This window comes from Homo sapiens, chromosome 1 (genome assembly GCF_000001405.40).
Source record: "Homo sapiens chromosome 1, GRCh38.p14 Primary Assembly".
Taxonomy (NCBI): domain Eukaryota; kingdom Metazoa; phylum Chordata; class Mammalia; order Primates; family Hominidae; genus Homo; species Homo sapiens.
In genome coordinates, this window is record NC_000001.11 from 33,868,493 (window position 1) to 33,885,649 (window position 17,157).

The 17,157-nt window shown below is 44.6% G+C and overlaps 1 protein-coding gene and 1 long non-coding RNA gene across 13 annotated transcripts in view; one reads left to right on the plus strand and one right to left on the minus strand.

Moving 5' to 3' along the window:
* CSMD2 (CUB and Sushi multiple domains 2) overlaps nt 1–17,157 on the minus strand; it is a 651,845-nt gene that overhangs the window by 354,495 nt on the left and 280,193 nt on the right. The window lies entirely within an intron of this gene.
* CSMD2-AS1 (CSMD2 antisense RNA 1) lies at nt 464–16,966 on the plus strand. Its single transcript, NR_038372.1, has 8 exons — nt 464–557; nt 711–845; nt 2,380–2,516; nt 6,974–7,100; nt 9,678–9,858; nt 13,671–13,742; nt 16,078–16,322; nt 16,594–16,966. It is a non-coding gene; the product is annotated as a CSMD2 antisense RNA 1 (long non-coding RNA).

Genomic DNA, 17,157 nt, shown 5'->3' on the forward strand with positions numbered 1-17,157 from the left:
TTTGGGAGGCCGAGGTGGGTGTTTCATGAGGTCAGGAATTTGAGACCAGCCTGATCAACATGGTGAAACCCCATGTCTACTAAAAATACAAAAATTAGCCAGGTGTGGTGGCACGTGCCTGTAATCTCAGCTACTCAGGAGGCTGAGGCAGGAGAATTGCTTGAACCCAGGAGGTGGAGGTTGCAGCGAGCCCAGATTGCACCATTGCACTCCAGCCTGGGTGACAGAGTGAGACTCCATCTTAACAAACAAACAAACAAACAAACAACACAAATACATATATCGAATCAGTTTTTGATAGGGTAAAGTACTCACTAGAAAATAAACGTGGGTAATGAGATAAATGATGATAGATAGGATAGAGGGCACTTGAAATGGATGGTCAGAAGTTTTCTGCGGAGCTGGCATTTGGGTTTGGATTTAAAGGGCAAGAAGGAGCCAGACAAGCCAAGGTGTAAGAGAAGAGTCCTCCAAGCAGCAGGGAAGCAAGTGCAAAGGTCCTTGCAGAAGCGAGCTTGGCATATTAGAGGGACAGAGGGAGGCCGGAGCAACTGGAGGTGTGAACAAATGGGCGAGATGTGTTTGGAAGGGTGAAGGCCTTGGCAAGGGGTTTATGTGGAAATCTAAGTGCAACTGAGAGCCACAGAGAGATTTCAGTAGTGGAGAACCACGTGCTTCCATCTCTGACTTTGTGTTACTCATCATTCTAGGGTCTTCAGAGACTATCAAGTGCCAACAAGGGGATTACCCCTCTGCCCCTCTAAAGGATTGCAAGAAAGAAGACACCAAATCCATGGCATTTTTTCCCTTAGGAAAGAAGGGAGATAATGAGAAGCCTCCACTTGGTATTCCTTGGAGCAGCTGGAAGCTAAAAACCAAATGTGGGAACTGTGAATCCTATCTCTGGGATATGTTTTCTCAGGAAATGGAGGAAATGGGTGGGCACGGGTGGCAAAATATTCCAGGGGAATACTTCTTCCTGGGCCTTGTGGGGAACAACTCCCAAAAGGCCAGTGGTTCTCAGCTTTAAGCCTGTGTTAGAATCACCTGCAGGGCTTATTAAAACACAGATTGCCGGGCCTTACCCCCAGAGTTTGATTTAGTATTTCTGGGAGTTGGATCTATAATTTGCATTTCTGAAAGTTCCCAGGTGATACTGATGCTCCTGGTCCCAGGACCACAGACAAATTCTCCTTCTTGTAGCCCCTCATTCACTCTGCGTAGGAGGCATGGCTCATCTGGCTGGTGGGTTTGGGAGGAGGAGCAGACCATGCTCAGTTAGCCCTCCCCACTCTCCCTTTCTCTCTCTCCCCATCGCCCTAGCTGCAGAGCATATTCAGACAGCTCTCCAATCAGTTCATCAGTAATAAAGGTGACATGCTGATCCTCATCTGTTTTTCTCTTGCATCTGCCAATTGATTCTGCACTTGAGAGGGGAATAAGTATATTTATTTATTGGGTTTCCCTCAAATTCCAACAGAGAAGTTGGTATCAGTTGCAAAACAATCAACTGGCATCCGGGCCACACAGCAGCATAGGAATCTTGGTTTTAGCTTCCACTAAAATATCAATTATTTGAGGGCAAAAAATGTCCAATTCCTGGGCCTTTAAGATAGGAAGTCAGGTCTGTGGATGGGGTGAGGTCACCAGGATGAGGTCACAAAGGCATTGATGCCCCTTTGTCCTATCATGTGACCACTTGTCACACTTCCATCAAACAGTACCTGCCCCTTAGGTGTGCTAGGGAATAAATGAAATGCCTGGGACATCATCGTTAAGTGGCATCTGATGCATAAGCAGTGCCCTAGGAATGGGGTTGCCTGCCTTGGTCTCTAAAGGATGGGTTCAAAAGGCAAGAGCAGCACACAAGAAGATAGCTTCAAGCAGGAGATAAAGCTTGGCCCAGGGCCCAAAGGGGATACGACCCTTCAGGTTGGCCCTGACCTCTGGGTTGGATTACCAGTGACACAATGAACATTTCATTATGAGGCCATCCCTTGAGGTAGTTGCATTGCAACAGCTCTCCCTACCCAGTGCTGCATTTCCAATGCTTTCTCTGTTCAGGCTGCTGGGTGACATTTCTATGTCTCCCCTTCAACGGTGAAATATTTCAGTGGTTGTCCATCACCTATGGGAGTCTGACATGGCATAATCAGGCCACTGGGGCATTGCTAGTTGTGCTGTCCCTGATATTCACCGTGGTAGGCAGTTTCTGAAATGGCTCCCAGTGATCTCCAACTCCTGAAATTCACACTCTGTGTAATCCCCTCCCTTTGAGTGTGGGCTAGACCTGGTGGCCAAAGTGATAGGATTTCACTTCTGATGTTAGGCTATGAAAGGCTGTGACCGCTCTCTCTGCCTCTTCTCTCTCACTTGAAGCAAACTGACATGCTGAAAGCTGCCCTATGGAGAGGCTCATGTGGCAAGGAACAGAGGGTGGCTTCTGGCCAACACCCAGTGAGGAACTCAGGCCCTCAGTCAAACAGCCTGCAAGGAACTGAACCCTGCCAATAACCGTAAGTAAGCCTGGAAGTGGATCACTCCCCTTTGAGATGCCTGCAGCCCCAGTGGACACCTTTACTGCAGCCTTGTGACGGACTCAGCTAAACTGTACCTGATTCTTGACCCATAGAAACTAATAGGTGTTTCATGGCACTAAGGCTTCAGATAATTTGTTACAAACTGAAATGATGAGTACAGATTTTGGCATCAAGAGAAGGATAGTATCATGACATATACCTAAAAATGTGAGATAGCTTTGGAACCAGGCAGTGGGCAGAGGTGAGAAGTATTCTGAGAAGCTTGTTAGAGAAATCTTCAATTGCCTCAAAGACAATTGAAGACACTGTAGAAATCTGGACTTTGAGGATACAGCTGGTGGGGGCTTAAAAGAAGTGATGAACATGTTATTGGAAACTAGAATGTCTTTGTCCATTTTCTATTGCCTGTAACAGAATATCTAAAGCTGGGTAATTTGTAAAGAAAAGAAATTTATTTGACAGTTACCAGTTACAGAGGCTGAGGAGTCCAAGGTCAAAGGGCTGCATCTGGTGAGAGCCTTCTTATTGGTGAGGACTGTCTGCAGAGAGGACTGAGCATGTTGATGTGCCTGCTCAGGTCTCTCTTCTTTTGTTTTGTTTTTGAGATGGAGTCTCGCTCTGTTGCCCAGGCTGGAGTGTAGTAGCGTGATCTCGGCTCACTACAGCCCTCACCTCCTGGGTTCAAGTGATTCTCCTGTCTCAGCCTCACAAGTAGCTGGGACTACAGGTGTGTGCCACCACATCTGGCTAATTTTCGTATTTTTCATAGAGATGGGGTTTCACCGTGTTTGCCAGGCTGGGCTCGAACTCCTGATCCACCTGCCTCAGCCTCCCAAAGTGCTGGGATTACGGCACGAGCCATCATGCCTGGCCTCTTCCTGTTCTTATAAAGCCACCAGTCCCACTCTTGTGATAACCCATTAATCCATGGATGGATTAACCCATTCATGAAGACAGGGTTCTCATGATCCAATCACCTCTTTAAGTCCCCACCTTTCAACACTACCATATTGGGGATTAACTTTCCAGCACATGACATTTGGGGGACCCATGCAAACCATATCATGGAGGAGGGACATCCTTGTTAGGTAGTGGTAGAAAGCTTAGTGCCACTATTGTCTGCAGTTACATGGAAAGCAAAATATGTACCTAATAAACTTAGTGATCTAGCTATGGAGATGTCCAAGCAAAGTGTTGAAAATAATTTCTTCTTACTGCTTATGTGAGAAGAGAGAAAAAAAAAAGTTAAAGTGAGACAGGACCTGATAGTTTTGAAAATTCTCAGTCTCCCAAGTCAGCAAAAGGTGCTAAAATTAAGAAATGGCATTTGAGCAAGAAATGGTGGTCTGAGATAAAGCTGTGGGTGTGACTGTGGGCCTTTGGTTAAGACTTCAGAAAGATCAAAAGATCATGGTATTATTCAGTCATACAAAGGCCCTTTAAAGAGATTAGGGTAGGCCTCATAGATCCTCCAGATCAAACAATAGGGACTCTAGGAAGCCAAGGGGCTGTCCCTTGGCCATCTTTTCAAGAGGCTCAGGTTGAAAAGTTTAGTTCTCAAAGAAATTTGTGGGTTTGTTTTTTTGTGTAATAGAGGGAATCTCAGTGCAATTTACAGAAGACCCAGAAGGTTTCTGAGAAAACCTATGAGAAGAAACACAGCTGGGACAGAAAGGAACAGAGACAGTACAAAATAAAATGAGGCCATTGGACCCCTAAAATTCTCAGCAGGAAACAGGCTGAGAAAACAAGTCAGCTTTAAACACAGGTTTCCTTTCATGAAAAAGGAAGGATTACTCAGAGGGAAGAACCAAGAGCTTAGAAGGTGGAGCTAAGAGTCATGGAGAATTATCCCCAGGCTTTGAAACCTAACCAAGAAACTTGCAGTCTTTTCCTGGCTGGATTTCAAAATTGTTACGGACCAGTGACGCCTTTGTTCCTCACATTTTCCTCCCTTTGAGTAGCAGTGTTTATAGCCATTCCTCTATACCTAACCTGCCATTGTATGTTGGGCATATGGGGGGCAGATAATTTATCTCCTTAGCTTTTCAAATCACCAAATCTGTAGTAACAGTATTCTAGAACTTGTACTTAAGGAATTATACCCAAGAGCCTCATCCACACCTGCACCTGATTTAGATGATGAGATCCTGGACTTTCAGTTGGTGCTCCCACGGGAGGAGATGTTAGAGACCTTGGGAAGGATGATTGCATTTTGTGTGTGGAAGGGACATGTATTCTGCATGTGGAAGGGACAAGAATCATTGGAGAGCCAGAGGGTAGATTGTGATAGGCAGCTTCAGAAATGACTCTAAATTTCTTTCTCTTCTGGTATTCATGTCCTTGTGCAGTCCCCTCCCTTTGTGTGTGGGCTGGACCTAGTGATTTGCTTCTAAAGAATAGAATACAGAAAAAGTGATAGAATGTCACTTCTCATATCAGGTTATAAAAGACTGTCACTTCTGTCTTATCCTCTCTCTCTGGCTCTACTCTCTGGCTTGCTCTGATGAAGCAGCTGGGTTGAAAGCTTCCCTTTGGAGAAGAACTGAGGGCTGTCTCTGGTCAATAGCACTGAGGAACTGAATCCAGCAAACAATTATGTGAAGAAACTTGGAAGCTTGTCCTCCCCTCTAGTTGAGCTTTGAGATGACTGCCGCCCTAGTGGACACCTTGATTGAAGCCTTATGAGAAACCCTAAGCCAGAGAACCCAATTAAGCTACGCTTACATTCCTAACACAGAGAAAATATGAGCTAATAAATGTTGTTTCAAACCACTAAGCTTTGGAGTAATATGTGACACAGCAACAGACACCTAACGCACCTGCCCTAAGGTCGGGCTACACTGCATTTTCCCCAGAAACATTACACTCTCTCCTCCCCAGGGCCTTTGCACATACTTCTCATCTCTCCTACCTTTTAGGTCTGGTAGACTTCAACCTGTTCTACAGACTTAGGTCAGGTATCCCTTCCTCTAGGAAGCTGTCTTTGATGCTCCAACTCCCTTGTGTGTTCCCATAATAGCTTATGTAAGTTCATACAATGCCATCCCAATGCACAGCACATTATAGCAACTGTTTGTCCCCTCAACTGGTAGAGAAGGGAAGGGATCTTGCCTTATTCATCACAGTGCTCTAAAATTTAACACAATGCGTCACATGGAGTAGAATGATAATAGCACACTTTTATTGAATGCCTACATCATACCTGGTAAGAAATAATTCATTGCAGGATTTGGGCTTGTGTTAGATGATTTGGGTACTGTTTGAAGCCATTTAATGCAATTATTTTACTTAAGAAAAACATTCAATGAGAGCGGTACTTTAAACACCCCATTTTACAGACAACTTGAACAGCAGGTTAGGTGCTCAGTTCATGTTTGATGGAAAATGAACAATTGAATCATGAGAAGCATGTTTTTTCTTCTGTCCTGTGTCTCCCTTCTCTCAAGAACTCTTTGCAAATACCAGAGTATTTGTATTTTGTGTGTGGAAGGGACATGTATTTTGCATGTGGGCCAGAAGGCCTCCTGGGCATCTGGACATCCACTTTGTGCTTGACTGGTCATGTTACCTAGCTTGGTATTTCCAGATAAGTACCTGGATCTATCCCTGGGTGTCTCAAAGGGAGGGCTTGGTTAGCACCCAGAGAGTTTGATGGGCACCAGAAACCACACCTCCAGCTCTTCGCCCACAGCTGTGCCTCTGGCTCCCAGACAGAATCAGCATTTTCCTCTCCCCACACTCTGTCATTATAAACCACGTAAATTCCTCGATACCCATGTTACAACGAACAGATGCGGCTCTGTATTTTTAATGTATTATCTCTAATTAGCAGCAGTGGGCATGGAAGAACTCTGTGGTCCCTGGGGCTGTCCCTCACTGATGCAGCTGCGAGTACATTTGTGATGAAGAATCTGGCCAGGCTCCTCTGGCCCGCACAGCCCTGGCAAGTGGGTGAGGGAACTTCCATGTGCAAAGTATCTACTCTGCCAGGAAGTGGGAAAGGGCCGCCAAGGCCTGATCATCAGTCCACTGCTCATCTAGCCCCCACTCCCACCCCTCTATGCTGTCTAAATACCCTGAGAGGATGTCCTTCATTGGGATCCCAGAGACAGGGCAGACAACAGCCTCCAATGTCATGGGCAAAACAGATTTTTCTAGGTTTGAGGTCTGCAGTGTGAAGATCTGTGAAATGCAAAAAGAGAATGCTTCAGTGCCCAGGGCAAACATAAGGGGCGGGGGAACTGCATGGACTTCAGAAAAGAAGGGGGCTGGTTAGTGAGAGCAAATGTATGCTCCTTAGCTCTGTCCAAAGAGGAAGGGTATTTCTTATAATAAATGTCATGCTCATGACTGACATGTTTTGGGCGTTTACTATGGACTAAGCCCTATTTCTAAGTGTTCTCCAGATATCATCACGTATAATTCTAGAGGCAGTGTCAGCCCCCGGCCAATGACCACCATGGACCTCCCTGTAGTTGAACAAAGTTGGGTTTGCTGACTGGTGGCAGTGAGGGAGAATGCACACCACAGGGAGCTGTGCAGTGTCTCAGTAAGAAGGTAAGAAATAATTCACTGTAGGATTCGGGCTTGTGTTAGTTAATTGGGGGAGGGTTCAAGGAAGCAGAGCTTTGCCCTGGATTGGAGACTGGAGGTAGGTGTAATTCTCTGGTTGGGTACTTCATAAATTTTATTTACAAGGCAGGAGGAATGAAGGAAGATAAGAGTTGTAATTGGTAAAGAAGCAGCCATCACTCACATCAGCCAAGAGGTGGAGGGAGGGGGGCTGTTAAGTCATCTTTGTATTTTGAATAATGTTCTTGTTTTTGTCTGAATTCATGATGTTGAAATGGTCTTGTTTTTGTCTTCATCTATCAGGGTCCTAGAGTGGTTTTGTCCGGCATTGACATTCAGTGAAATTGTTTATGGTCAACAGGAGAACCCCAAGGTCTAGGTGTAGGTGCCAGGCCAGCTCTCGGCAGCAAAAGGCCTTACTGATAGTGCCAGGCCAGCTTGCAGCCATCAGGGGCTGCTGTTCTCCTTCTCAGCAGGCCCTGTTACTATGCCAGTTTACAGAAATAAAGAAATTGAGGCAAAGACAGATTGCCTGGTCTTAGTTGTCTCACAGCTGGGAAGCAGCAGAGATTCCAGAGTCCCTGAAAGTCAAGTGAGCATCAAGAGACAACAGAGGGAACTAAAGGGGAGAGTTTGTAATTACGGGAAGCCAGCCTGACCATGAGGGGAACTGGTCAAGAGATAGAACACAGGATTTGTAGTCAGAGATCTCTACCTTGGGAATCTGTCATTGCTACTTACTAGCCATGTGGCCCTGGGCAATTTGTCGAACATGAGAAATTCACTTTATTCTTATGTATAATGGCAACACCAAAAGCTGTTTCTCAGGGTCATATGGGAATAGAATGAGAAGACATGGCATAAAGAACTTACGTACCACTTGGGACACAGATGCTGCCCTGAGTATTTACTGAACGCCAGGCACTGTTCTAAGTCCCTCGCATGTATTTACTCATCTATTACAGCAACCCTTTATAACCTGTGGCTTGCAGGTGAGAAGATGGAGACACAGAGAGGTTAGGCGACTTGCTTGAGGTCACACAGCTATCAAGTAGCAGAACTCAGGCATCCTGGCTGCAGCACCCACACTCTACCATGTGTCATAGTAGCTGTGGGGTCATTGCTCCTTGTCCACTCTAAGTGCTCCAGATCATGAGCTTCAAGACCCTAGTCTTATTCTGATGGTGATTTAATGCCCTGGAACTCTCAAGGCCCCAGACTTTTGCTTGTGAATGGGTCTAAGCTGCTTGCTTGGCTCTGGTCCGGAGAGCATTCATTTCCTTTTAGAAGGTCAAAACATTCTTGGCATGACAGATAATATAGATTCAGGTTGCTGCAGTCTATAGATCAAATAAAACATAGTATTGCCTTATTAGTATTTCTACACCTTTCAGTAAGTAGTAGAGTCAGAGAAAACCCTGAAAAATGAGTATAAACTAAAGAGGGTAGGAGAATGACTCAATGCTGCAGCACAAGCCCTCTTTTGGCAAGATCGATGTGTGGGCAGAAGGCAAATGGCTGCTGAGAGGAAATGGGCCACACCTGGCTGGTCTTATTCTATCCTGTAATGGCAGAAAGCTGTTCAGGATGGCTATGGCGCACAGCCCAGGGCTGACTCAGCATTGCCTCTTCCTAACCTGTTGAGTGGGTTTATAGATTGTGTCACAAGTTCTGGGAAAATGAGAGGTCAGGATTCCTGGGCCCAATGGCTCGTTAACAGAGGTCCTGTGTGCCATCACCCCCTCCAGTCCTTGTCCCACTGGACTTGTCCCCCTTGTCGCACTGGGGGAGATGAGGGCCTGGAACTCACAGCAAAATTCTCTCTGTGGCTTGATGCAATCCCAGATCCTCACCATCAACCTTTGTGAGGCTCATCTGTTCTTAATTATATCTCTAAATCCCGAGGCATTACAACTCTGAGAATTTGGGAAATTTAGCTGCTTAGAGGATTCATAATAATCACAAAATCCCTGGTATTTACAGAGCTCCCTTTTGCAGACTGTGAAAGGCAGACAAGACAATACTGTAGTGGTAAAGGCACCCCGAAATTGCTCTCAAGTTCTCTTCACTGAATGCCAGGCCCTTAGTCTGTATTATTTTGTGTAGCTCAAGGGGGCAAATTGAAAAGAATACTTTTCCCTATTACTTTCTGAGAGAGACCACAGAGAAGAGAGAGATGTTAAGTTAATGTCGAAGATATGCCCAGGGTTGCTGCCAAGCCCCTGCCCTCTTTTCAGGATTGCGCTGCTGAAGGGAGGGGCTCCTGCAGCTATACTGGTACAAGCTGAGCTTGCCCCTTTCTAGCTGCAGCTGATTGGACAAGGAGTGGAGACACTCGACTGATGAGTGGAGCCAATCAGATTCTCTCTCTTGATAGTTTGAATTAAGAGATGTGGAAACTGGGAGTTGGGTTCCTGGATTTGAAGGTCAGGCAGACTCAGGGGCTGGAGTGACCATTTGGGACCAAGCAGAGAGAAGGGGAATAGACCATGTAATATCTGAGAGTTGCTTTTCAGCACTTTCTGCCCATGTATTTGTTCAGCAAATTCTCTGATTCCTAAGCCAGGAGCCATCCCGTGAGGCCGTTACTGCAAACAAGCTGAAAATCCTGCTTTGTTTCTTTTGGACACAACATGCTTTCCTTCAGCTTCAGTAGACGATGAGGCCAGCACCACATGGGCTAGATGTACATGAGATGTGAGCAACCACACTTCCCCTCTGACGGGGACAGACAGCATCACAGGTGAGTGGGAGACCCACATGTGGTCCATTCCAGACACCCCCGCTGCTTTTATTAGAAGCCAACATGGGCCTCCCTTGAGCTGCCAGGTGTTGGGTGCAGCTGCCCCTCACCTCCCTAGCTTACAGGAGAAGGACTGAGCAAAGTCTCTTCAAAGGAGCCATTATTGTGACACAGCACAGCCATCTGCTCCCCGCATTGATCTGACAGTGGCAGCAAGGGCTGAAAGCAGTAGTAGAGGCCCAGGAGCACAATTCAGTGAACAGCCCTCATTGATCTGTTTACCTGCTTGATGGCTGGCCAAACTCTCTGTGTCCGAAAGACACCCTTGGAAGGTCAGAGCTGGAAGGACACCTTAGGGAGGCCTGAGGACAGTCCAAGATTGTCACAAATGGGAAAAGCAAGCCCTAAAGATACTATTGAGATATGACCTTTCCAATTTCAATCAAGGGAACTCAGATAACTCCCACTGTTTATGGGACAGCCCTGGGGAGGGGGACAGGGTGCTATTGTGCTTTGTAGTCCTATTTGCCACAGGTAGTAAAGCAAAGAGAATATCTATTTATATGAATCCATAGGACTGAATCATAAGCTCTTGAACGAAAAGAAAAAGCACATTCTTCTTACCGCGGTAACAATGTGTGGTCACTAGTTCAGAACTCCCACTGTCCCTAAGCCACAGGATGCAGACCAACACAATCAAAGAGTTCTCTCGGCTGGAGGTTCCAACTGGAATGTGTGAGTTGGTGGCTTCTATGGTGCCAGCTTTTGCTTAGCCTTTGCTTGGTCACATATTCAGGGTCAACCTGCCCTGTCCCAGTGACAATTGTCTCCAGCAGGAAATTCATTATGAGCCCCTTTTCCACTTGTCGAGTAGATTCTGGAAATAGTCTGCTGTCCTCCCCACCACCTCCCACTAAGATCCCAGGAGCCAGGGATTTAGTCCCTGGAATCCCTGCAGCCTTGATCATTAACCACTCCACTTAAGTGTGGCCCATCTGTCTGGTTGGTCTGCTTCAATCTCTGGTCCCATTTCTTGCTCCCCCATGGGCTAGCAGTTTTGTGAAACTGTTTCTGGATGGATGGACTTTGGGCCTACTCTCCCAAGGGTTGGGATTTATCTTCCCCATATCTATTAACCCACAAATGTCCCTGACCTGAAAGTCACACAAATACCTGAGTCATGTGACCACCTCATTCCCTTAGACTTTGCCTTCCCAAAAATGCCAGTCCTGATGAGGGTAGGAGATTTTGTCTTACAATATTGGGTGGCTGATAGCAAGCATTGGTGTCTCTCCCCCATTCCTGCTCTAACCACCACCACTATAATCATGAGCATTGGTTTTAGATGAAGAAAGAACTGGCTTTGAATGCTGTTCCCACTACTAACTGTATGAACTTGGCAAGTTAGCAAACCACATTCTTCTGATCCTCCTTCTTCTTGTCCGTGTAAAGGGTGAATTAAAACCTACTCAAGGTGACAGGTGTAGAGCAAATGAGAGAACAAATGAGAGCATGAATATAAAGAATTTAGCATAGCGCATCACACCTGATACTAATATGTAACACTCATTGAGAGTTTATAATATGTTAAGTTCTATGCAAAGTGCTTTGTAAACATTACCTTATTTAATCTGCACAGTAATCTAGTAAGATCCTATTATCCAAAATTTTAAAATGAAAAACCTGAAGCTTGAAAGGTTAAGTAAATTGCTCAAAGTTAACAGCTAGTCAGTGGATGAGCAAACACTGATTGTGACCTCATGGAGACCAAAAATGATGATTTATCTAATTTAATGTCATTGTATAATGCCTATTATATACCAGGCACCCCAAAAATGTATGCTGAATGAGTGTATGGCTCCCAAGTCAGTGCCCCTTTGCATAGCTGGGTTGAGAGCTCAGCTCTGCCAACTTACTGCTTCTCTCTCTCTCTCTTTTTGAGGGAGGACATAAAGCTGTTTTTATTTCTGCCAGCATTTGTGTTCTTATCCCTAGTATGGCTATTACTGGATCTTTTAATACATTCAAACTTTCTATCTGAATGGATACATTTCCATACCACCTACTCTTTAATCAGAGATTAAGAGATCTTAACTCACAGATTCAGCACTTGGACAGAGCTAGGATTTTTGAGCTAATGTGTAGTCGGTATGGGATTTGCATTTAAAAACTATTTACATTAAAGTGTGACCCACATATGAGAAAAGACTGCGCTCTTCACTTACAGCTCAGTGGTTTTGGCTCTCTCTTTCTTCTCATAGTCTATGAGATGAGAAAAGATTTCCATAAAGATTTTATGAGTCCAAGAGAAACATTACTCAAACAGGATTTATTTCAAAGGCATCATTCTTGTGGCATGCTGTTTAAAGGGGAAGCAAAGCTCATATTGGTACAATTCTTATACTCAAAGAAAGTACAAATTTTGCAGAATATCCTCTTAAGACCTACCAAGGGGACAACTTCTTCAATTTGGTTCAAATTAGCAAAATATAAAGCATTTTCAGCATCTCTGGGCTCATACTTGAAACCAGTGATAAGTGACAATAAGAATATGATTTTCCCCCATTCACCCTGAAACAAGGAGAAAGGTAATTACTGTATTGTTATTTTTGGACCTTCATGCTCTGGGACAAAAATATATTTATGATGCCCAGGCACTGTGCTAAACACCACAAGGCAAACAAGGCACATTTTCTGCTCTTAATGACCTCGCTGGTAGGGAAGAGACATGTACCCATAAGCAACACATTACGCAGGGAGAAAAGAGTTATGAGAGAAATAGATACAAGCTGGGAACTCATTCTGGAGTTCTGTCAGGGCATTTATTGTCTTTCTGTCTAGTGGACAAACTCCTATTCATTTTCCTGCAACCCTCCTCTGTGAATCCTTTCCTGATCCTCTGAGACAGTCAGTCTTCCCTCCTTGGGGTTCCCACAAATGTTGAAGAAAAGTAAAATGAGAATAACAGCTACTAAATAAGTAATTATTAAGTATATAAAAACTGTTCTGTAGGAGAAAGGGGCAGGAAATAATTAACTGTCAAGGAAGAAGTGGAGATGCCTGAATTAGTTCTTGAAAAATGTGGGGAAGGTCGTTTTGGCTAGGGAAAGCAGGAAGCATGAAGGCATGGCAGCATGGCAGTATGCATAGTTATGGTGTGTTTACAGAATGCCAAGCAGCGTGGGGTAGTTAAAGCAAGGTGCAAGGGAGGGAATGGTGTGGGGAACTGAAGATGATGGGGAGGAAGTGACAGAAAATGAAGGAGCTGAGTTGGGATGGAGTCGGATTATAAAATCTTCTGTTAGAAAATTTGTTCCTAATCCTGTAGGTGGTGGGAGCTTTCAAAATATATTTTAACTTTTACTTGTTTTTCTGTGTGCAGAAAGTAATATAAGCTTATTATAAAACTTAGAAATACAAAAGAACATAAATAATAAAATGCATTAGTACTGTGTATTTAAACTACATATTCAGTTTTGTATATTAATTTTTTAACTTAATATCCTATATTAAGCATTTTCAAATTTATTCGAAAGTTTCTGAAATTATAATTTTAATCCCCATGTGTTGTATCAGCCACAGGTGCCAGTTTATGGAACCATTAATATTGGACATATACTGTTTCCTTTTCCCCATTATAATAAATAATGCTGCAGTGAACATCCTTGCACATATCATTTTGCACCAGCCTCTCACTATTCCCTAGTTCCTTGGTATAAATCCCTAAAAGTGGTATCCACATTTCACGTTTTAATTCCTACCATGAAAATTACCTTCCAAAAAAGTTGTGCCATTTATAATCCCACCAACAGGACATGAAGTTCTAAGAGGTTCAGTGACTTGTCTAAGATTAAACAGCTATGAATGGAGAACTGGAGGCAAATGTGAGTACTGGTATCCACGGGGCTATGGCAGAACTTCAGTGGGGAGATGGGAGTGGGGTGGCCAGAGGTAATTGAGTCTGGAGGACTGAAAGTGACTTAGGTGAAGACTGATGGTCTAATGAGACAGCTTCAAAGGACAGGCTGTCAATGGACAACATTTGTAATTTCATACTTTCTCTAAAGCTGCCTATGTCACGACTCTTCCCACTTGAGAATGTTCAGACCAAAGAGAAATGAAACATATCTACCTTTCTATTGACTGTTAATCCTTTGTAGAATAGGGCATTAGGCTGGCATTAGTGATAAGGGCACATGTGAAAACTTGCCTGTTTCTCTAAAATTTGGTTCAAGGAGGATTCCCCATTAATGCCATGAGTTCACTGCAGAGGTCAACACTGGGCATACACTTCAATCATCCATAAAGAAAAATGGAGGTACCTATCTCTTTGAGGTCACAGCATGCTTTCTCAGTTGTTTCCTAGTTAAGAAATTACTCAATAAAGAATGGAAGATTCAGGATCCATAGTTTTCTCAATCCTCATACCCTGAATTTACTAGCTAACTTCCCCCTTTCCTTTCTTCCTTCCATTCTTCCTTCTTTCCTTCCCTTCTCTTCCTCCTTTTCTTCCCTTCGTGGCTACGGATGCAGTCTAGAGCCAACAGGAGCACCAAATTCAGGCAATCAAGTTATCAAAGCTCCATATCTTACTCATCACAGGCTTGAAAGGGATTCAGAGTCATGTACTCCAGCCTACTTCATAAATTCTCTCTACCACACCAGCTGGAGGCTGGTGTTTGTCCAGCCCCTCCTTGACTCTTCCAATGGTCTCCCCAAGGAAGCTATTCCATTTTATTACAAAGATCTTTGCACTGAGTCAAGGTTTGACTCCTGCAACTACCCATTGGTTCAGTTTCTCCCAGTTATTTAAACTTTCTTCCATAGAATGGACATTTAGCTACCCAAAAACAGGGGCCATTTTCCTCTCAGTAGGTGATATATTGGTATATGTCTTAGGCTGCGGAGTAAAAAAGACCTGGGCTTCCAATTTTGAATCTGCCAGCAACCAGCTGTGTGTAGTTGGGCAAGTTGCTAAATATCTCCGAGCCTCAGATGATTTCCTCTAGAATAAATGATGACACATTTACCTCACCTCATTTAGTAAGGACTAAATGAAATGTCAATAGTAGGGCAAATTGTGGATGGTTGTTAGATGTTAGGTCCCCTCACAGTTGCCTTTTTTTTTTAAGTCAGTATTTCTCCAAGGTGGTCTCTGACTAGTTGTATCGAGATAGCCTAGGGTGAGTATTGAAAATGTAGATTTCCGGATCAACTCCTAATCAACCGAGTTATAGTCTGTGAGTGTGAAATCTAGACACTTTCATTTGTTTAGTTCAGAGAAGTATCCATGGAGCCAAGAAGTTAGAAGGCCTTAACACATATGGGAACTCTCCAAGCCTTCTCAGGGAGTCTACAGTCAAAGACCCATATGATCCCTGGGACACATGCCTTGAATTGGGAAACAAGGCCCCACTTTCAAGATGTTTCTTTTGCCCACTCTCAGATAGAAGCCTTCCCTCTTATTATGGAATTTGGACTTGGAAGAGATTGGCAATGGCCAATGAAGACCAGGGCTCTTCAATATAACTTAGAAGGAGTTAGAAGGAGAGGGTCAGCCCTAGAAGGAGGATGAGCTGGGCAGGGCGGGGCTGGGGTTCATGGGCCAGTGCAACAGACTGGAATTCAGTGGACTCTCTAGGCCAGGCAGGAAGCTAGAGGGCCTCCCATGACCATAGCAGACACACAGTGGACACACAGTGGAATTCCCAGGGCTTTCCCTGACATGCTGGATGTCAGCGCAATCAACTCCATGCCCACCCTCTCTAGTGGATGAGTCTAGGCTCCCAGGAAGTCCTAATACTCTAATTTATTCTGCTTGTCCTCTTGTCCTCTCATCCTCCCTTTTTCCCTGTTGTGTCCCCGTTGTAAGCTCTCTCCTCACACCTAAGCTGATGGCTCCCAGACATCTATTTTCAACCTTTACTCCTCCCCAAAACTTTAGATCCTTACATCCTTCTACCTCTGGCATCCCAGGGGCACCTCAAACTTAAGATGCCATCACCCCAGGGGCACCTCAAACTTAAGATGATCACCCCCTTTGCCACTTCCTGCCATCCCACACACTGGCCACTCAAACCAAGGGCTGACAGCCATCTTATTCCTCCTCCCGCTTTGTCCCTCAGGTTAATTGCATTGCTAACCAAATGATGCTGTTTTTAAGTCTGTTAAACCTCTCCCTCCTCTCAGTCTCCACTAATACTGTCTGTGTTAATTCAGGCCTCATCATCTCTCACCTGGGCAACTGCAACAATGAGCAGTTTGTGTCTGTGCCTGCATCCATCCTTCCATCCTGTACTCCAGCAGCAGCCAGGGTGGTCTTTCAAAAATGCAAAGCTGATAATGTTACTCCCCTGCTGTAAACCTTCCAGCGGTTTCCTATTGCCTTCAGAATAAAATACGAATCATCTGGCCTCCATCTATCTCTCCAGGCTCATCCTCTCTCAATTTTCCATATCCTTCAGGTACTTTCCCAGGCATAGAAGCTAAGAATTCCCCCTTTGTCCAGAGCCCTAGGCTGACCAAGCCCCACTGAAGACCATGCTTTCTGATTTCTGCCTCTGTCATTTCCTTATTGTCCCTGCTCCCAATCCAGCTCACTGTCCAATTCAGCATGGACAGGAGAGACATGGAAAGAAAAACAACTGTTATAATTATTGCCAAAAGCTGTGTTCTGTTACTATGCATTGTGCATAGTAAGAGTTCACATTAAATTCCTCATTTTAATTCTCACAGTATCCTGTTGGGACAGACAGATGAAGAACCAGAGACCAGAGAGTTTAAGTAGCTTGCCAAAGGTCACACAGCAGTGTAAGCAGTACGGGTGATTCTTAAGCCCACATTGTTTGACTTCCGAGACATATCAGAAAACTACGTCAAAGAACACGCACAACTCAGACCTATTTCCAGTGGCCTATGCAGAAGAGCTACCCTGCTTGAATGGAAACCCCTTAAGATACACTATTCTCAAAAACCTAAGTGCTTAGCCTGGCTTATGGAGGAGGCAATGCAATCTACCACAAGATGATTAAGACAACAATGAACTTAAGACCCAGCCACTGCTGGAGAATATCTGCCTGTGAATTCAATTTGGTTCAATTCAATCCGATTTAATTCAGTGCAGTTATTGAGTGCCCACCACATACCCCATAGGGCTGGTCCAGAGAGAAACGCAGGGGTCCCTCCTGGGAAATTATAACTAACCCAAGCATGGGCACCACATGAGGAAGCAGGAATGGGGGTTCTGGGATCTGGGGTTCAAGGCAGGAATCTTGTGGTCAGCCCTGGAGCACTTAGGAG